The sequence below is a fragment of the Homo sapiens genome, chromosome 2 (genome assembly GCF_000001405.40).
Source record: "Homo sapiens chromosome 2, GRCh38.p14 Primary Assembly".
In the NCBI taxonomy this organism is placed as follows: domain Eukaryota; kingdom Metazoa; phylum Chordata; class Mammalia; order Primates; family Hominidae; genus Homo; species Homo sapiens.
This window is the reverse complement of record NC_000002.12, coordinates 145,632,206-145,655,410: the sequence shown is the minus strand read 5'-3', so window position 1 is coordinate 145,655,410 and position 23,205 is coordinate 145,632,206. Positions and strand designations below refer to the sequence as shown.

At 34.8% G+C, this 23,205-nt stretch overlaps 1 annotated feature.

Moving 5' to 3' along the window:
• Positions 3,544-3,744: a silencer, noted in NCBI's record as "peak3896 fragment used in MPRA reporter construct". NCBI's record gives its function as "represses an SCP1 promoter by STARR-seq MPRAs in K562 erythroleukemia cells {active_cell/tissue: K562}" and the evidence as "EXISTENCE:reporter gene assay evidence [ECO:0000049][PMID:32103011]".

Sequence of the window (23,205 nt, the reverse complement as noted above, 5' to 3'; positions counted from 1 at the left end):
AGCTAACTAAATAAAAGCAGGCCAGAGCTGATAGTATGAAAAATGGATTTTCATTACTGTTTCATTGATTCTTGTAAATAAGGGCCTGAGGCCTGCTCCGAAAAGGCTGCAAACAGTAATAATTTAATCTGAGGTGACATAGACCAAAATGTATGTGGACAAAAATCATCCTTGAATATTAAACAACAGCCTCAAGACAGAGAAAAGTGTTGCAGGCGAATTTAAATGTATGCAGATCGGTGGGTAACATATTTAAAAACAGAAATTAAAGATTCCTGTCATAAATCACATTTGCTGCCATGGATATGCCTTGTTATGCTGGCGTTTAAGAAAACCTGAAAGGTTAAGGCAGTTGGTGCATTAAATCGTACAAGGATAATTAATACTTTTCTTGTGGCTATTTATAAGAAATGGAAAATATTGTCAGATCAGCTGTGGCACTGTAGTAATTTGAGGGGGAAGCCATGAAAGCATGAGTCAATAGTTTTAACTGGACAAATGTCAAATGCTTAATGATGCAGTATCCCAATTTGGAAGCTGTTTGAAAGTCGTATATATTTTAAAATGAGATAAAATAGTTTATTCTCATACTAGGATTATAATTTGCTTGTCTCCCATCCTCTTCATATTGCCCAAGAAAAAAAAAAACACATTTTTTTCCACATGGATTTTTTTTGAAAGTAATTATGCCTCAGTCACCTATACTGTAGATAGTACATGAAAATAAATACCATTTCTGGCATCAAGCATCATAAATTCTGCCTTTCACCATGTCTCAAAAAATAGTAATGACACTATTTTTTTTGAATGACTAATTTGTTTGTCTCCTCAGGAATTACATTGGTAACATCAGAGGACTCTCCAACCACTTCCCCAGAGGAAAATCTACCTTTGTTACTCGATGAACTTAGGTTTATGACAAATCAATTATTTAGAAATCCTCCTGTCATATCTTGTAGGTTTTCTATACTCTAAACTAAAATCAGTGCTGTTTATTAGTATCAGGCATTATGAAAAAGTCCCTCCACATGACAGAATGCTTATAGTCCTAAATCCTTGGGATTTGAAAGGGCCTTTTGTCTTTTACGGCACTGCTACTTGTATAGTATTCCTTTAAGCTCAGAGAAAGGAATGGGTGTCCTTTGGAAAGGAAACTATTCTTGTTATGAATAAAATAGTCTCACAAATATAAGTGCATCATTTGTGCAAAATATAATGTAATTTATGGGTTTTTCTTTTATAAGTTGGTTTCAAAATAACAGTGGGTTTAAAAGTATCGCAGGAGTAAACTATTGTATTTTAGCACAAAATAATATAAGTAAGAATAATTTCTTTTTGATGAAAGTATACAGACATGATTACACCCAGGTGCTTACTTTTCTGGTAATAAAATCTATTAATACATTTATAGTCAAATTCAGCCTGGGTATCATTAACTGAAAGTTCAAATAGTCATTTAATACAAAAGGCTTTTAAATATCTTTTACAAAATAAGTAACTTTAAGTCAGTTCTGAGTTTTTGCTAGACTATGCCATCATTGAATGTTCCCCATGGCCTGAGAAACAAATTTGTTGGGGCTCTCATGGTTCTTTAAATAGGGTGACTCAGGAAACCTTGTTCACTCATCATTGATAGCTAACACTGAAGGGAAGTGATAAAACCATTTTCACATTAACACCCCTGTTCCATATTGCAGTCATTGGGTAGAGCAATAGTTATATATACCATCTTTCATTACACTCACACAACCCAAGACTTACTTGCATCTCTATTTTTATTGATATTAACCCTTGTAACCAAATGCTCTATGATGAGTCTGAGTGGGTGAAAATTACTCTAGTGAAAGCTATGAGATTTATTTTAAAATTGTAGAATGTATTTTCAGAAAGTTAAAAAAAAAGAAAAAACATGTAAATGAAAGGAAAAAAAAATCCCAAACAGATGGGGTAAATGAAACCTCCCTTGCTAACATCTGCAGGTTTATAATTGCTGAAATTGTTCAACCCTCCCCTGTGACTCAGTATCCAGAGACATTGCCTCATAGGTAGAGGATGAACACCAATACATCTGGCCTGACAAATATTCTGTGAGTAATGCCCCCATTGGCCAACACTTCTTCCGGTTTGAACAAAAATGATGTGGCTTTGAGGGAATGAAAATGGTTTAATATTATGACAATCTTCCTGACTAAGTGTGTGAAGTGCAAAGCATGTAATCAGACAAGGCTGAAAGAGTAAAATTGACAAGGCCATAGGAAGAACAGAACTCCTGTCTTCACGGGCTGGCCCCAGAAAATTTGGATTAAATACTGTCTCTGCTTGAAGTAAATTGGCCCTAACCCAGAGGCTTCTCGAAACATAGAAAGTAAAGCTAGGGATTAAGCTGTAATTTAAACAAAAATGATTATCTTTGCTTACGTTTCCTGTGTTTCTGTAGACTGGAACTTAAGTTCATAATTATCTTTTTTAATGATTAATGTCATGATCACTAATTTGGTGATCAACTTAAAAATTCTTCAGCAGATTGTTTTAAACTTAAATGCAAAGCTATTTTCAGTTTTCAACGTTCTTTTTAGCTATTGGTATTAAACATACATAACACATTTCCCTGGAAGTAGATATAACCCAGCTGTTAAGGATAAGATAGGAAAAACAGACTAAACATGAATCGCAAGTGAGAATTTTTCTTGAAGAGAAAGCCTCTGTAAGTTATGTTGCAAGGCACTGGATCTAAGGCATAACATTTTATGCCTTGCTATCACTTACTATTTCAAGATAGCCAAATCCTTTGCTAGAAGTGAAATATTTTCTACGTAACAGTAGATTATTGTCTAGACCATTATCAAGGGTGAATTAGCAAGAATAGGGACACAACCTCAAAGTCAAAGAGCAAGTACTAGCAATTCTAGAAATAGATTTTGATTTACACACCAATAAAATATATTCTGAAATCTATAACAGACAGGTATAAGACTAATTTTACTATTAGAATGTATAAATTGTTTCAGTACGAGTGGAAATTTTTTTTTTAAAAAAAGCTCACCAGAGTAAGAAGTAAACAGAGTAAGAAGGAGATAGAATAAAATGGGAGAGATCATAGACACTAATCTCTTAAGAGCTCTAATGGCTCCTGTGGGTCTGTTATTGCTTGCGTAATAAACATATCTACTGTGCATAAACATTAAGCTCTGCAAAAATATCAAGAGGATATGTAGCACATGGGCTTGTAAACATTAGTGGCAGCTGTACTGATATATAAGTGTACAATGAAATGACTCCAAAGTAGCTATTATGTCCTATCATGGCAGGCTTGGTGAATACCAATGCATTTACATGCTCAAAGAGACAAATGAATTGGCTTTAAATGTATCATTCATTGTGAGCTTCACAGTTTTTCATAATTGACACAGGCCTTCAATGTCATGTAGAATGAAGCACATTAAAGTTATAGAGAAAACTATGGCTTCAAGGTTTCCACATAGGTCTGTGCATTGGGTGGAATCAACAGTACCATTTCACACGTGTTAGATCTGTACTCAAAGCAAACTTTAAAGAAAATGTACAATGTGAGCTGCATAAATACTCCATGATATCTACCTTAAACAGTAACTGACTACTGGAACCAGAGATAGTACAAATGTTACATTAGGTTTACTTTCTGAAATGTGATTTCTCAGCCATAACTCTAATAAATAATAAATTGTTCTTAAACATCCCTTAAGCATACCTTTTAATGAAATACTTTTACTTCTAAGGACACATGATTATTATACCACTTGTAAAGAAGGCCCTTTGAGTTTTTTGTAATGAATAAAAATTAGCACCTATATTATGTCCAACAACAGGGGAATGGATACACTTTTAAAGTATTGCCATCAATGATAATACTTGAAATTTTCAAAGAATATCTAATGACTTGGGGCAATATTTTAAAACAGAAAATAAACAGGAACAAGGTAAAAAATTGTGTTGTGAATTTTGTAGAAAATATATATGTCAATATTAAAAGAATTAGAAGAAAATACATGAAGTTATTAATAGCATCTTCATGTATTTTTTTTCTATAAACTTTCTAGTATTTTTCATATATTATGCAAGTATTATTGTATTTAGATTTATCCTAAATATTTTCTAAATAAAAAAATTGAAAGACACATCCAGTAAAGTAGTAATAAAAAACTCTTGAGCCTACTGGAATCGCTTTTCTATTCCTCTTCAAAAGAATTTAATTGATTTTCTTTCGTTTAAAGCAGAGTTTTATTAAGGAGTCCTCTTAGTGCTTCCCATTCCTCTGTAGTGATGATGAGAACTAAGGAAAGATTTTCCAACACTGGAATTATCCCTAGAATAGGTTTTGGAAGACAGGGATCTTCTCCTTTATTAAATCATCCCAATGAATATTCATTCAAATCCCCATTATTTTGTGTGGCACTGTCAGCTAGATAGACACCATATTAGCAACCTTTCCTGACCTTAAATCTGCTTCAGGTCAACTCAGGGCTATAGAGTTGACTAAGAACTGGCTCCATTTTGCCTTTACACTACCCTTTAGAGTGAAAAGACAAGGATACTTGCAGACCTGACCTGTGAACATTGGTACTCGAGTGCCTACTCATTCTCTCCATTTTGAAATCCACCACGTTACAAAATTGAATGACCAAAACTCTCTTCCCGAGCCACTTCAAATGCTGCCGCTCAGTATCTTCATCACAAACCTCGGTATTATTTGTGACACACCCTTTCTAGTCTTACAAATAACAATTCAGTCTTGTAAATTACTGACACCATTGATTGGTCTCAGTCATTTCCTCCATGATCCTAGTTCAGCCTACCATCCTTTCTCATCTAGATTGCTCCAACAGCTCCCTAATAGTTCTAATGTTCAGGGTCTCCAGACTTATTTGACAAGCTAGTCTCACATTGTAGACATAGTCATATTTGTAAGACACTAATTGTGTCATGTCACCTCCTACATATAACTCATGACCTTTGAAAAAAATCTAAAGGCCTCAGTGCAGTCTTGAATCCCTTCATGGTCTTGTCACTGCTTCCCTATCCAACCACATCTTTCTCCATATCCCTCTGTCCCTTCCCCTGATCCTGTTGCTCCAGTGATTCTTAAGATTCTACCATGTTTTTCTTCCCTCCTAGCCTCAGTATGTGCTTTTCCTTCTGTGTGGACTTCTATTCTCTTTCCTGTCTAGCCCCCATATCCACCCAGTTCAATTAGATAAGCCCCCCAACAACTCCCACTTATGACCAAAGCCTTTTCTTAGAGCCCTGGGTTCCTCAACATTTTGTTATGTGCCCAACTTACTTGCTTCCATTTCATTCTTATCTACTTTGAATATAAGACTTATCTTATTGTATTGTTATTGCAGAGCAATTTCTTGCTTTTTGTTTTCTCCATTAAATGACATGCTTTGTGAGGGCTGGAAAAATGTCTGCCATATTCAGTTTTATATCTGTAATTCATAGCTTATGCTTCATAAATAGTACGTATTTGGTATTTTAATGTGTAAATAAATAAAATAAGTATTAACATTTTTCATATGAAATAGGTCAAACATAGAAATTAATCTTTAATGTTTATTTGTGCAATGTAAGGCCATGCTTAGCAATTAAACATTATACATACTGAATTCTCATAATGGTAATGATAATAATGGCCAAGACTTCATAGTGCTTGTTGTGAATTTGGCTTTATTCAAAGTACTTAACATACATTACTTCATTTAATCCTTTCACCACCCTGTAATGAAGTGTTTATTATGGTCGTTTTATACATGAGAAGGCTGAGGCACTGAAGGTTTACATTTTTTAAGGTCACACCGCTAGTAAGTGCTTACATTAGGATTCTGTGGCAACTGTGATGTATAAACCCTAGATTTTGAAAGGATTTCTATAATAGATGAGTATTTTTATTTTTATAATATTCCATTGCAGTCTCAGGTTGGGAATGAATGGACAGTGGAGAAATTCACTTTCACACGATATTCATGGAACTAGGCTGATAAAAGTTCTGCGAAACTTAAAAACCTGGTTTTCACCATCATCATAAAAGGCACGTTAAGATGACAGAAGGAGAAGAGTTTATGCAACAGATAGTTGTCTCATATTACTTCTGCTCACATTTCATTGTCAAGAACTCAGACATATCCTCATCCTAATAGCAAAGAATGCAGACAAATATCCTTACGGAGAAAGAAAATACATATTTTTGTTACATAGTTTGCATTCTGTACCACAGGGACTAGGCTGGGTTTGAACCCAGTCTGAATGGCTCCAGAGCCTAATTCTTAGCACCCTATTAAACCTTCTGTAATAGGAAAGTGATTTACCTGTTTAATCCATCTCTTAATTAGATGTATTTAGCATGGCTTAAAGCTGTTTGCTCCCTGCTTAAGAAAATATAGATTGTATGCATTTTTAAAGTTTGGACAGCCTTCTGTTCCTTTTATGTTTACATAGAAAGTAGTTGGCATATGTTGTTCTGAAATCTAATGGAAAGGATTTGTAGCATCATTGCCAAAAGTTTGTCTGCACACCCAGGTTATTATAGTTATATTTGTAGCTATAACAATAATTATATATTTAATTATATACGAGGCATTTTCCTCACCTCTAAAGATGTTTAGCTAAATCCAAGATGAAAAACTGTTGGCCAAATTTAATAACATCATTATTTAACACCTATAAATTTTGGTTTAAGAGAGAAATCCGTGTGAAAATTTTATTAATTTCATAAAAGTTAACCAATATTAGTTGAAGAAAACATGAGGGATGTTTTCCCTGGGATACCATGGAGGGAAAAGAGTATCAAAAAGTAAGGGGAAAAAAAGCACAGCTGACAGATGTCTGACATGAAGGAGAATATCAAAGGAATTATCTGAAAATTAGAATTAATTAAACCTAGTCCCTTACAAGAAATTTCAAATTTGAAAAAAAAAAATGCCAGCCTAAAATATTCCTCTGAGAAGCTTTGTTGCTTAGAATAAACAATTGGATAAATTAATTCATGCCATAATTTTTGGTCAGAAAGGTTGCAGAAATATAGTTCTCTAATCTGTACCAGTTCATATAACAGCAAAATGAATTACCCCAAATTTCCTCTTAAAACAATAATCTTACTTTGCTCATGATTTTGTGAATATGGATTAGGAATTTGAGAGGCACTAACTGGGTCGTTCTTGTTTGGGTCTCTTCTGTGACTCTAGTCAGATGACGACTGAGCATGCCATCATTTGAAGGCTCAACTGGGTTTAACATCCATGATGGTTCACTCACTTGGCTGGCAATTAATTCTGGTTGTTGAGAGGGACCCCAGCTGAGCTGTTATCTGGAATACTTACATGGGTCTCTTGAGCATGGTGGTGTCAGAGTGGTCGGTTTTCTTGGAGAGACTTTCTCCAAATTTAACATCTCAAAATGGAGGAAGAAGCATGGCCTTTTATCACCTAGAGTTAGAAGTCACATAGGACAACATCTGTTGCATTTTATTTCTCACAAGTAAATCACCAAGGTCAGTCCTGATTAAAGGGAAGAGACATGGAACCTACCTCTCCATGGGAGAAGAGTTAAATAAGCTATGGATATGGCTTAAAACCACCACAAATTTTGATTATAATATCAAATTTATTATTACAAGTAATATTTGTACTAATATTATTTCAGGGGAGTATTGTAGAGGGCTGAGTGAATCAGGATAGACTTGTGACAATAGCTCTATACTCAAGAAATTTTTACTAAATACTGAACCTCTACATACCACTATTCATCATAAACTTTCATTTTATCAAAACTTACTTAATTTTTCCTTCATGTTATATAAAGTATGGGTAAAGATGAAATACTGAACAGATTATTTAAAGGGTTTTTTGTTTTCTAACAGTGAGCCCTGTTCTTTGCCAAATTAACTTTAACTGTTTCCTCAGAAATGATTCCTCTGTATGGATTCAAAGTACAGTTCATGCAATTATTTTTACATTTCTTACTCCTTGGAATTGTATGTGAATCACTTCTTGGCCTTTTGACTAAGGTGAAGTATAAATTGTGACTTTTTATTTCTTATTAACAAGTCGCAGATTTTGGTCTTTCAGTTCATCGTTTTATAAATGAAGCAAGCGATGTCAAGTTTTACTATTAACTATTCTGATATATGAATAAAATGGATACTTGCAGCATACCATGGAAAACAGAGATAATATAATAAGCACTGATAACACCATTTGGTTATCAAGAACTAAGAGTGAGTAGTTTTAGTGTAATAATACTGAATAATACTGATTGGTAGCCAATATAAAGAATCAGAGCTTATGGTAAACCACAGCAAAAACAACTCCTCTCCTTCAAAAGTATATTTTGTGTAATTGATAGATAATTTTCAACAATTATTTGATCAACACAAAATTATTTCATTCCATCTGTCCATTTAAAACATATTTCTATGGCTATAAGCTATGAATAAAATTAGGAATATTCTTATGACTAGTCCTATGAATATTCCTAAATCAACCAAATATTTGGGTGAGAGTGTATTAAAAGAAGATGCTAAAGAGTTCTTTCACCTTCCTTAATGTTTAGGTTAAAATCTGTCATGATATTCTAAAACACTATGAAGTAGCCTTTTAATAGAAAAATTTGGTCCATTTTGGAGCAGATTGAAAACTGATTCCTTATGCAAACCCTAGTCTTGCTAATATTGTCAATGAATATTAATCGACTGCATATTATACATCAGATGCTGTTCTAGAATGGAGCTATATCAGTGCACACACACATTCAAATGACTAAATATGTAATCAGTCAAGTGATGTTATGAAGAAAACTAAAACAGCTAAAGAATAAAGAAGAATAGAGAAAGGGTGAGGTATGTTAATTTAGATAGAACAATTAGGGTATGTCTTTCTGATGAAATCACATTTAGCAGATAGAAAAACTAGTGAAAGAGCCATGTGAGCCATCTCATAGAAGAAAAATACAGGTCAAGACTTCCTCTCTGACCTTGTTATTGTTTTTATCTGAAGATTAATTGGTTTAAGGAGATGTGTATGGATGCCAAGTTGGCAAGGGGTAAACTTGTGATGGTTAATTTTATGTCAACTTGACTAGGCTAAGGGATTCCCATATAGCTGATACAACATTCTTTCTGAGTGTGTGTATCTAGAGGGTGATTCTGGAAGAGATGTGTATTTGGATCAATAGACTGAGTAAAGAAGATCTGCTCTCACCAATATTGATGGACATCATACAATCTATTAAGAGCCTGAATAGAACAAACAGATAAGGAAGGGCTAATTCTCTCTTTCTGTTCTTGAGCTGTGACATCCATATTCTCCTGCCCTTGGACTTTGGAGCTCCTGGTTCTCTGGCCTTCCAACTCTGGGACTTATATTACTGTCCTTCTGCCCTCCCTGGTCACCAGGCTTTGGACTAGAATTGCGAATTGTACCCTCTGTTCCTCTGGTTCTCAGACCTTTGGACATGAACTACATTATATCAACAGCACTCCTAGTTATCTAACTTAAATAGTTCCAAAATTTGTTGATAAATCTGTCTTTTTTCGATCCAGTTGGGTAATTGTTAAATTATCATTTACAAAATGTAGTTCATTCACAAAAACTTAATCATTTTCCTGTTGTTTACTTATTCTGGCTCCTAGTAAAATTTTTATCATTAAGATTGAAAATTTTTATTAAAATATTTGATGGCAATGAGTTCTTCAGTTTTTTTGCTCTTGATATTTGTTAAGCTGTATCAATCTGTAACTGGATTTTCTGTCATCCCAATACAGTTTTTTCTTAAAAACAAAATATTTTTGATTATTTTTCCTTATATTTGTTATTGTTTTGGGCTTTTGTCTTGTATTTTCTTTCTTTTATCTGTACTTGACCTTTCTCCTTTTTTTTTCCTTTTCTTTCTTTTTTTTTGGACAGTTTTTCTCTGACTCCTACATGAATTTCTTGAGTTTAATTCCCACAAATCCCTTTTCTATTGTATCTTTTTTGTTGCTTTTGAGCCCTATCTTACGTTCAATTAAGCAATCACATTTTCCTTCTTATGCAATATTTTCTGATTTTACATTGTTTCTGTTTCATATTTTCTTCTTCCATGTAAATATATAAAATATTCTCTCAAATATTAATGAGATTATAAACCAGAAAGCTTCTAATTTTTTTTTGTTGTTTCAGTTCTGTTTTGTGGCTTTTGTCTTGTTTTGTTTTACAGTATATCTACTTTTTTGAATCAATTCTTCTAAGCATTCAGGAATGTCCTCTTGTTTTGACATAATGCATCTTTTTATACAGCTATTAGCTTTTTTATTTTTTATTATTTTTTTATTCTGATACTCACTTAAAAAGAAACTTTATTTGTTCTGGCTGCTAGAGAAGGGAGAAACCCTGCCATATTGGGTTTCTAAAATGATCATTGAGACCACATCCTGTCCTTTTTCCTCAGAGACTGTGAAAGGGGTTTTCTCATCATTAGCTCTACTCAGATCCTGGCCACATTGTTCCTGCAGGCAGTGGGGGAAGGTCAGAAATCCTACTTCTGACTCTGATTCCCTCTTGCATAGCAATGGAGAGGAAGATAGGGAGGTGACTACTGCTAACTTCCCACTGAACAGACACCTGGCTGAGGACTTGCCATGTTAATTAAATCTCACAAATCTAGGATATAGATACAAATGCATTCTCTTTACATTTTACATGTAAGAAAATTGAGGGATAGGGATTTTTAATTTTCCTGTAAGACCAAGCAGCTATTGAGTGAAGAATCCAGACCAAACTTAGGTTCTTACCAAATACATCATTTCCTTTGGTTTATTATTTAATTAAAATCCTTTGGGCCAGGTGTGGTGGCTCATGCTTGTAATCCCAGCACTTTGGGAGGCCAAGGTGGGTGGATCACCTGAGGTCAGGAGTCCCAGACCAGCCTGGCCAACCTGGTGAAACCCCGCCTGTACTAAAAAATACAAAAATTAGCTGGGTGTGGTGGCAGGCGGCTGTAAGCCCAGCTACTCGGGAGGCTGAGGCAGGAAAATCACTTGAACCCCAGAGGTGGAGGTTGCAGTGAGCCGAGATCGCGCCATTGCACTCCAGCCTGGGTGACAGAGCAAGACTCCATCTCAAAAAAAAAAAAAAATCCTTTGAAATTGAGGGCATGAGACTATTATTTTGCCTATTTTTATCACCAATGAGGGTTTCCCTCCATTTTATATTCTTCTAGCCACTCCCATGGGTCTCTCAAAAGAGGAAGGTAGAGGATCAAATTTACAAAAATCATATTTCTCAGAAAGAAAGGCTCTTTAAAGTGTACAAAAGAATGACCACTCAATGTGACCAGTTTATCTGACTTCTAAATCATAGGTCTCTGCCCTTTTTAAACAACATAAAAAGCTTGAAGTCTTCGCATTCTAAAAGATGTGGGTTCCAAAAGGATTTCCGCTTCTTTTCAAAAACGTTGGTGAGAAAATAACATTTAAGGAATACAATTTAAGATTGACTGCATAGACTTAAGGCTTTTTACCTTTACATTTCAAGGGTTTCGAAAAATTGACTATGAAGCTTTATTCCACAGGATTAACTACGATTTGATGACACCAGTGCCATTTTCAAAGGACTGTAAGTAGTTGCACATTGACCATCATGTAGCTAATATGACCTCAGTCCACCTCAGGTGAATGAGAGCATCGTAAAATTTATAAAGCAGCAGGTCATAAAAGCATTCATCAACCAGCGTACTCACGTACAGTGTCTTTATCAGGGTTTTTGGAATAAAAAAATAAAAATTAATTGTTAGCTAAGTGGAACATAAATCAAATAGATAAAAAGGTGGAAAGTACAACAGTATGAAACGTAGTAGACAAGTGGGGTATTTGTGAAAAGGATGACTTCTGAGATTTTGGAGCTCGAGTACTTATTTTATATATGGCCATCAGCACTTACTTGGATGCTTTGTCCATAGGAAATGCTCAGTAAATACCTCCCCAAGAGGTGATGAAATAGTCAGTGTCTAGAGAAGGATAATTAAAACAGAATGCTGCATTGATTTGTCAGTTATCATCTGAGGAGATACACGTAACAATGTCAACAAAACTGTATGTAGGCATTTGAACTCCATGACAATAGGGTTCTGACTGAAGTAAAACTTAAGCAACCTTTTCACATATGGTAAGATCACATCCTTCAAAAATTATATCTGAAAGTGTGTCAGAAATAACAGTGGTAAAAAAGAATAATGGATTATTATTATTCATAAACATATCCAAATTTGGCTATTTAAGTGTGAACTTTTGGCATTTCTTTGAAATCCGCATTTTAAATTTTTTCATTTAGCATTGTAATGACAACATTTTACTTATACAAAGTGTTTCCATCCCTTTTGTCCTACAAAGACATGCATATTTCATTTAAGTCCCATAATGTTAATTTTAGCATTTCATGTATTGGAAACACTAACTGTCATGTAGCAAAAATCAGGGGTTTTTGGACACGGTGGTTATTTCTCGTAAAATAAGAAGTAATTATTGTAGGAACATACTAGTCCTTGAGAAGAGGAAGGGGATGGTTACATGTATGGGTTTCAGGGCATAGCTACATGTAACTATTAGATAACATATTTCCAGTTGACAACTTTTGAATATTTCTATTTAGACATGAAGCACCTTCAAATACTTGTTCTAAACTCAACTAATGACTTTTCTACTAACCTATATTTATTTTTGGCCTTTTCTCTGAGACTGTGGTGCTACCATATCTACTCAGCAGTCTCTAAACCTCCATCTCATCCTCACCTCCTGGTTTATCCTCACCATATCCATCCACCTTAGAACTGAACAAGCTCTATTGGTCTCACTGAGGCAGTATCTCTGTCATCAGTCATTTTTTTTTTTTAGCTACAAATTTTTATTTGAATACAAGTGTGAAGGAGCAAATGCATATTTTTCTACTTTATTGGATAGTCTCATTTTTACAAATCAGTTCTTTCAATTACCAACTGTTTCTTATTATTCTTTTAAAAAAAATTATATCTGTCTTTTTTTTTCAGTTTCCACTATTGGTGTTTTTGGCCAGGATTTTATTCTGTTTTGGAAATACATATATTCTGTTTTGTAAATATATGTGTGTGTGTGTGTGTGTGTGTGTGTGTGTGTATGGTAAATATATGTATTGACTTAATAATAGCTTTCTGGTTATTTTATACCATTAGATTGTAGACAGTCTGAGACTCCAACATGGTTTAATAACATAGGAATGTCAATTTTACCTTCCTGCTTTATACTATCTACCAAATATCTCTTAATTTCTTATCCAAAATTTACAGCCTCCCCAAATATGACTTCCAACCCTATTCAATTGCAGAACCATTGAAATGCAAATATGAAAGGATATGCCTTCTTCATCTTTTTTTATCCCATCATAAAATAGAACATAGCTCTTGGGCTATGCTAAGTTCAACACAAGAAACAATTAATATTTATGGATATGAACTAGGACTTATTTAATGAACAAGTTTTATACAATATGCTCTATTATATAATAGTTTCTGAACACTGTAGTTGAAACCAACTTCACATAAAGCTATTAGAGGAGCATATAAAAATGAAAACCTTACATAGTCTTGAGCTTTAAATTAAATATTTCTACTAAAATATAACACCTGAAGGTATACAGAAAAACCAATTTGGCAGTTATATTGAAGATGTTCATTAATTTTCCAGATTTTATATACCTATACATGCTCCATAAATGATGGAAATAAAATTACTGAATAGTCATTGAGTATCATTTTATTAAACATATATATCTTGGTATAAAACAATCACATAGATATATTAATTCCCAAATTAAGGCTTTCCTCTGTCACACAGTGATGAAACACATACTGTCACTGTTCCTCAAATGCATGTTACCACGGAGTATCAATAGTGCATTAGAAGGGCTCAATGAATATATTGATTTTTTATTCTTTTTCCTTTTATTATTTTTTAATAATCTTAATTAAAGAAAGAATTTCAGGGTCTGATGGTCTGGTTTCAATTCCTTGGCTGCCAGTAGTGTGATCTTAAGGAAGTCATTCAAGTTCTCTAAATTTGAATTTCCTCTTCTCTAATGTGGGGATAATAACAATACCTACCTCATACTTACACTGTGAGGATCAATAAAATCATGTATGAAAGAGGCAAGCCAGAAAGAGCTACCCAAGTGTTGAATAGAGTATAGTTTTGCCAGTTATTTTCATATTTGATATGACAAAATACTTAAGTCAAAAATGAATGAGACCACGCACCTTAGACAGTCTCCTGTCCATCTCTGTCTCCTCCTGCACCCAAATTTGTTTCAGTTTAAAAGTAAGCAGTTATTGAATGTGTATTATGTGTCAAGCAATATGGTAGATATTAGAAATGAAAAGCAAACAATATTTTCCCACTACTGCACAAAGTCTAGTAGAAGAGAGACACATAAAAGGCCAACATGGTGAAACCTCATCTCTACTAAAAACTACAAAAATCAGCCGGTTGTGGTGGCGGGTGCCTGTAATCCCAGCTACTTGGGAGGCTGAGGCAGAAGAATAGCTTGAACCCGGGAGGTGGAGGTTGCAGTGAGCCGAGATGGCACCACTGCACTCCAGCTTGGGCAACAGAGGGAAACTCCGTTTCAAAAATAATAATAATAATAATAATCTCAATAAAGTACATGCTAAAATTGTTTATTGCACAGGGTGTTAAACATGTCAGACAGGGTAGGGTAGCATTTCACTTAGCTTTTGTGATTAGGAATGTTCCAAAAAAATGACAACTGTATTGAGTTGCTGACTAATACTTCCAGTTATCATAATGAAGACCTGTAGGGTTTTCTATACAGAACATGCAGCAATAACACAGCCATAAAAGTGCAGCTAAGTATTCAGTGGTAATGAACCTGCAAGCTGCTAATTGTGTATATATAAATAATATACATAAACCTGGCATATAGTAAACACACAATAAATTCTATTCTATCATTTTTAAGCCAGTAGAGAAGGTGTTCGTTCAGTCAGTTAAGAGGTGATCATAGCAGTTCAGATAAGAGATAAAGTCCTGAGAGTGCAATGATGGATGAAAATATCTGGCACTGGTATCTGGAACTTCATAGAAATTCCATTTATGTTGAATAATGTGTAATAGATATAGAATTAGGTATATAGAAATCTTACATCATAGATTTAAACATACAATTAGTGTTTCATTCTAATTAAAGAATAACTACACAATTGTCCTATAACTAGGCAAAGAAAAAAAATTATGAACTTTTTTTTCCTCTATAAGATTGACTGGTTGTGCTGGCATTTGAAAGTTGTGGTCCAACTCCGTTTAAGATAATTAGGCTAAGACTTAAAAGGTGCAGGAAACAGAGATTTAGAAAGAATATTTAAACTTTGTATGGTACCTCTAAGATATGCACTAGATTAATAGCATTAGCAAAAAACCTTACGCTTATTCGGTTAAACCCTTTCTTTGCTCTTTTTTTTTAAAAATTGTAAATTGACAATTTATAATTTTATAAAAATTATGGAGTACAAATTAATGTTATAATTAATGAACACAATGAAGAATAATTCAATAAAGTTAGTTTACATATCTGTCATCTCAAATACTAACATTTTCTGTGGTGAGTACATTTAACATTTATTTTGAGAAATTTCAAAATGTACAACAGTCTATTTTTAACTATATTCACTATCCAGTGCAATAGAACTAAAAAAAAAAAAAGGAAAGAAAGAAAGAAAAAAAGAAAAGAAACCGTATTTCTCCCGTCTAATTGAGATTTGGCACCTTTTGACCATCATCTCCCCATTCCAGCCACCCTCCAGTCTCTGTAATCACTATTCTACTCTTTGCTTCTATGAATTCATTTGTTTTAGATTCCCATATATATGTGAGAACATGGCGTGTTTGTCTTTCTGTGCCTGATGTATTTCACTTAGCATAATGCTCACCAATACAATCCATGTTGTTGCATATGACAAAATTTCATTCTTTGTAAAGTCTGACTAGTATTTCATTGTGTATATATAAATACCGCATTTTCTTTATCCATTTATTTGTTGAACACAGGTTGATTTCATAACTTAGCTATTATGAATGGAACTGCAATGAATATAGGCATGCAGACATCTCATAAATTAAATGGTTTCTAGTCTTTCGGGTAAATCACCAGAACTGGAATTGCTGGATCACATGATAATTCTCTTTTAAGGTTTTTAAAGATCTTCCATACTGTTTTCTAATTTACATTACCACCAACAATGTACTAGGGTTCCCTTTTTCTCACATCCTCTGCAGCACTTGTTATGTTTAATCTTTTCTATAAGAGCCATTCTGACAAATTGTGAAATGAAAGTTTATTGTATTTTTTATTCGTATTTCTTTAATGATTAGCAATATTGAGCATTTTTTAATATATCTGTTGACAAAGTTACTAACAATAGGAGGCTGCGATAGGAACTACAGCTACTGTGCAGCTGATGTCAAGGGGGAAGTTCCCCAAACACTCCAGCAGGGTATTTCCCTCTGTAAATTTCCTGTACCTTCAATTGTGCTGCAGGGAATTGCTCTTTTTAAAACTATATTTATATAAGTACTTCCCATCTTCTGGGTTCTTTTTGCTCTCATTTTTTCCACAAATCAAATTTTGAACAAATTAACTATGTTTCTTCATCATATAGAAAGCACTTGTAATTTAGTCAAAACATATTGTAACTATTTGCCATTTTAAAGCACTGATAAGAGTGATAAGCAGATAATCTCTGTTCTTTTAATTTTCTTTGTGATTGGATTGGGACAATTTCCCTCACTGTGAACTTTTAAAGGGCAAAAACTATGTCTAAAACTTTTGTATCTGTTTCTATTTGGCAATATTAGATAATAAATATTTGATAAGTGAATAATTATAAATGAATGAGTAAAATAATATCATAAAGGTACTGAAGATAAGAAAAAGCTCCAAATAGTAAGATTATGAAAGTTTTGCTAAAGAAGTGGCATGCTAGCTGAGTTTTGGTGGATAAAAATTTCAGTAGGCGAAGTGGGTAAGCAGAGAATGCCAGTCTTCCATAAGCAAAGACATCCAAATGGGTCAAAGATGGCATAATGTTCAGGTGACAGTAGCACAAAGATATGAAAGAAAGATACAGAAGAGTAACCTAGTAATGTAGACAGAGATCAATTGTGATTGGTCTTTAAAAACTATGCAGAAGAGACTGGGCTTTTTTCTCCTGTCAAAGCAGGGCTATGTTTTAAAGAAGAGCAGAGCCTAATGTGTACTATAGTTTGAGATGACTTTCCTCAGAAACCAGAAAACAGGAGCAATATAATATAGATGGTTGTGCAATGGAAAGTCCTCCAGCATGCAACACATACACACACACACACACACACACGCATGCGTGCACACACACACACACACACACACACACACACACATCACTGCATACCACACACCACACCTAACTTACTAAATTTTTTTAAAGCAGTTCCTTAGTAAATCAACTGGATAGAATAGAACAGAATTCATGGATTTGAAAACACAAGTCAATAACATTAGTAAAATGACATGCTTTCTATAACAAAGACAACTTTCCTATTTTTATTGTTGTTGTCATTGTTGTTTTAACATAGGAGAAAATTCTGCGGACAGCGTTGTAGTGAAGACTGTCTCATGGCTGGGTTATATACAATTTTTAATGTCCTTATTGTAATAATGTTATATAGCTGTTTGGGAAATATCATTGTTCCTTGCCTGAGAACCATTGCTTTATAGTACTAAATTTAAAAAAATATATATTTTTAGGGAAAATCCAACTTCTCTTTTTATTTGATTACTGAAAATTAAAAAAAAAAAATCTGTATTTCCTGAAAGCACTAGGCAACATTTTAGGAGTGGTCTCTCTGATCAGAGTGGAACTGGGTATCCCAGGTCACAAAAACAGTTAAGTTTCATTTTCAGGGTCTCTATCCAAACTCATGGATTCCTGAATAAGGTACAGTCAAGTTAAAGTAATATTTTTTATCTGAATGGGTAGAACCAAAAATAAAATACCTAGAATAAACATGATATTATCAGTAATTTCATTTCAAGTGTTATTCTGTATTTCTGAAAATAGGGACAGTGACTTTTTTCCAAGAGGGGAGAAGACCAAAAAAAAAAAAAAAAAAAAAGTGTGTATTGGAGCCAACAGCCTTATTTGCTGTGAAAATTGCAAATGTTTGCCTGGAGCAAATACGTGAAAATTTGCAATTTGTTGTAGGTGTGGAATTTTGCTATTTTTCACAGTGGAAGAACTGTTCTGTGTAGTTTGTTTTTCCCCCTAGATGTGTGAATACTCCAAGAAATTTTGAGATCTATGCATTTTGATGCCAAAGATGGCAAGGTGAACAATTACTTTCAACAATAACTCAAAGTTCTGCTATGTAAGTCAATGAAATATTTTTTTTTCATAGTTCAAATTAAGATAAACAGTAGTCCCAATTTTGTATTAAGCTTTCATCTGGTGAAAAGCTCTGTATTAATGTAGTATAATTCTTTTTTTAGGAGTATATTGATATGTAAAATTACAGATATGGAGAGTAGGTAGTTTAAAAATCATTCACGCTTTTATGACTTGTAATAAGATACCAAAAGTCCTGCTGTCTTATACATGCAATGATTATATTTGCAATCTTATATATGCAAAATTACATTAAGATACCATATAAAATCAAATCAATTTACTAAGTACAAATAAATAACAATAAAAACTCCAAGTTACTTAACTGAATAATATCTGAATAATATACTTTTTTAAACTTCAGAGTGAAGGTATACAAGGTATTCAGTTTTTTGTTTGTTTGTTTGTTTGTTTGTTTAGACAGGGTTTCATCCTGTCGCCCAGGCTGGAGTGCAGTGGTGCAATCTCAGCTCACTGTAATCATTGCTACCCAGGCTTAAGTAATCCTCCCACCTGTGCCTCTCAAGTAGCTTGAACCACAGGTGTGTGCCACCATGCTTGGCTAATTTATAAATTTTTTGTAATCCCAGTGCTCTGGGATTACAGGTGTGAGCCACTGCACTCAGCCTAAGTATACAGTCTTGAAGCTAGATAAGATTAATTAATTGTTCAGGAAAAAGGAAATAAAATAATTATGCTATTGTGAAATATAGTCATGTGTCACATAATGATGAGGACACATTCTGAGAAAGGCATTGGTAGGCAATTTTGTCCCATGTGAACATCATAGGGTGTTGCTTTTATGCTATAATCTTGTACAGCATGTTATGTACTGAATAATGTAGGCAACTGTAACACAATGGTAAGTATTCACCTAAACATATGTTAACATAGAACATATACAGTAAAAATATGATATAAAAGATTTAAAAAATGGTATACCTGTATAGGGCACTTACCATGAATGGAGCTTGCAGGATTCAAGTTGCTCTGACTGAGTCAGTGAATGAGTGGTGAGCGATTGTGAAGGCCTGAGACATTACTGTACACTTTATAAACACTGTAAATTTAGGCTACACTTCATTTATTTTAAAAAAGTAATCACACTATGACCTTACAATGGCTATGGTTTCACTAGATGACAGAAATTTTTTAGCTGCATTATAATCTTATGAGACCACCATCATATATGTCATCTGCTGTTGACTGAAACGTTGTTATGCGGCTCATGACTATATATACTGTTTATCCTTGAACACTGTGAGGGTTAAGGGGGCCAACCCCCATGCAGGAAAAAAAATCCAGGTGTAACTTTTGACTCTTCCAAAATATAACTACAAATAGCCTTCTGTTGACTGGAAGCCATATTGATTGATTAACACATATTTTGTAAGTTTTATGTATTCTATACTATAGTCTTCCAATAAAGTAAGCTATAGGAAAGAAAATGTTATTAGAAAATTTATAAGAAAGAGAATATATATTCATTAAATCCAGGTGAATCATCATAAAGCCTTTATCATTGTCTTCACATTGATTAGGCTGAGAAGGAAGAGGAAGAGAAGGGGTTGGTCTTGCTGTCTCAAGGGTGGCACAGGTGGAAAAAATCTGCATATAGGCTGGACACAGTGGCTCACACCTGTAATCCCAGCATGTTGGGAGGCCGAGGCATGTTGGGAGGCCGAGGCAGGTGGATCACCTGAGGTCAGTAGTTCAAGACCAGCCTGGCCAACGTGATAAAACCTGGTCTCTACTAAAAATACAAAAATTAGCCAGGAGTGATGGCAGGAGCCTGTAATCCCAGCTACTTGGGAGGCTGAGGCAGGAGAATCACTTGAACCCAGGAGACAGAGGTTGCAGTGAGCTGAGATCCGCCACTGCACTGCAGCCTGGGCAACAGGGTGAGAATCCATCTCAAAAAAAAAAAAAAAAAAAAAGTGCATATAAGTGGATCCTTGAAGTTCAAACCTGTGTTGTTCAAGGGTCAGTTGTATTTGGTCTTTAGCCTGGTTTCCTGACATACAGCTCCTGAAAGCCTTGGAATCTCTGAGGTGATTAGTGTCCCTTGTGAGCTAAGAGATGACTGGTAGCTGGAAGGTTCTAAATAGTTTCAATATGGGGGCTGATCACAGGAAACACAAAGGCATGTTTAGAGGTGTGGGACTTTCAGCCCCACCCTCTAACCTCCAGGGAGGGGAGATGGGCTGAAGGTTGAGTTGATCACTAAGGGTCAGTGATTTAATCAGTTGTGCTTAGGTAATAAAGCTTACATAAAACTCAAAAGGACTGAGTCCAGACAGCTTCTGGATCGCTAAACATGTAGAGGTTCCTGGAGGGTGGTGCACAAGAGAGGAGATCCCATGCTCCTTCTTCCATGCCTTGCCCTGTATAACTCTTTCATCTGGCTGTTCATCTGTATCTTTTATAATATCCTTCATAATAAATGGGTAAATGTAAGTAAAGTATTTCTCTGAGTTCTATAAGCTGCTCTAGCAAATTAATCAAACCCAAGGAGTAGGGTGTGGGAACCTGGATTTATATCTGGTTAATGAGAAGTACAGTTCACAACCTGGGGCTTGCAATTCGCATGTGAATTAGAGGGCAGTCTTGGGACTGAGTCCTCAGCCTGTGAGATCTGATGCTATCTTCAGGCAGATAGAGTCAGAATTGCGGACACGTCTGGTGGGGAAAATACTCACTCATTTCTTAGTGATCAGAGGTCACAGAAGTATTGAGTGGTAAACAGAGAATAGGAAGACCTGTTTGCTTTTTCTATATTCTTGTGGTAGTACTCTGTTTCTTTCTAGTCAATGTGATACTGTAACTGCCATGTTCCTTCTCTTTATGGTCTCTTCTGAAAAGCATAAAATGTTTGGATTGTCTTTGCTGTCCTTCCCAAGGTGATGCCTGCCCAGATTAGCTACTGTGAAGGAATGCTGATTGCTTCATCCTGGTCCTGCTTCTTTATATTGAGACGTTGTCTCCCTCTCACTCTGTCGCCCAGGCTGAAGTGCAGTGGTGCGATCTCAGCTCACTTCAACTTCCGCCTCCTGGGTTCAAGCAATTCTCCTTTCTCAGCCTTCTGAGTAGCTGGGATTACGGACGTGCACCACCACACCCAGCTAATTTTGTTTGTTTGTTTGTTTTTTCTTTTGTATTTTTTAATAGAGACAGGGTTTCACCATGTTGGCCATCCTGGTCTCTAACTTCAAGTGATGTGCCCACCTCAGCCTCCCAAAATGTTAGCATGACAGGCGTGAGCCACCATGCACGACCCCCTCTCCTCTTTCACATGCAATTTTCTGTCCCATTTCTTATACCCTCAGAGACACCTTTCCTTTTAAGCTCTAAAATCATAATTAGCTTCTTTCATTAAGTAACCTGTGTTTTAACAGATTTCCCAGACCACTCCCTTTTTTTCTCCCCCAGGTAAGATGTGCCTTTTAGAGTTCTTCCAAAGGACATGTAGGACAATATACTTCTTTGGGTTAACGAAATTTTCTAATATGCATAAAGCAAGCCTAGATGGTTTGTGTTACAGTTATCCAATTAATCTACTCAATTAAAGTATGTTTTAATTAACAATATAGTATATGTATAAGATTCTAAAAGGCTAGCTTATCATTTGAATTAGTGCATAGGTTCCCTTTCACTTTTCAAGTATCAAAATCACTGGAATCTGAGAAAACTTTGCAGACTATTTCTGCATCTCTCCAATCTTTCTTGGAATGCTGCATAAAGCTATTTTTGGTTTGTGTTCGTTTCAGTAAGATTCAGTAACTTCAAAGCTTTTCTTAATATCAAATAACCTTAACACGGGTACCTGGTTTTCTTCATGCATTTCTGAAACTTGGAATATATATTTATCTTTCCATAGGACTAAGGAGAAAATCCACTACTAAATGATTCTTGCCATATGCACATAGGGTAAAAAATGGTGGAGAAATGATCCAGGGAAATCATCTATTTAGAAGTATGCTACAGTTTTATTCCCCTTAAAATAGTAGTCTAATTGAAAATAATAATTGAAAATATTTTTGTAAAAATCAATTTTAAGAGATTGCTTATGAAGCTAAACACCACTTATAATAAAATGATTTGCAATTGATACATACAAGAAAATAGTCTTCCCCTTAGAAAGAAACAAAAATCACAATTGTAAGGTTTATTGCTGTATTTTTCATTGTGGAGAATGCCTCTTGAAGTTTAATTCTTTAGTGAATTTCATTTACAGATCACCCTTCCAGCTCAGCCATCTACTCGCCAATAAGCACCGAGGAATGTCTCCTTTCTATGTCCTGACCATATTGCTACCCCTTTTTCTTATCTGCCCAATTAGCTTTAGAGGCCTTAGCTACCACCAGCCTAACTACCTTGGAGCTCCTAGATGAAAGTTTCTTATCCTAGGCTATTCTATTCATCAGAAATCTAGCAAAACTTAGGTTTGAATAGTTTCCTATGAAACACCTCCCACTCAACTGATTTGTGGTTCCTAATGAACCATAAGCTGATGGACAATTACTCATTTGGCTGAGCCCCATGGAACATTTAAAGGATACTAGGGATCTCACAAAGCTACATATGTGACTTCCATTTAAGTTTAGATACAAGCTTTTTGATAAGAGCAAGAAATATAACAAGACTTTAAATGGAATTACCGTGAAAGAGCAACTTTGACTTGAAATCTCAAGTTATCTGCGATTGGTGTTCAGATAAACCAAAAAATAATAAGGG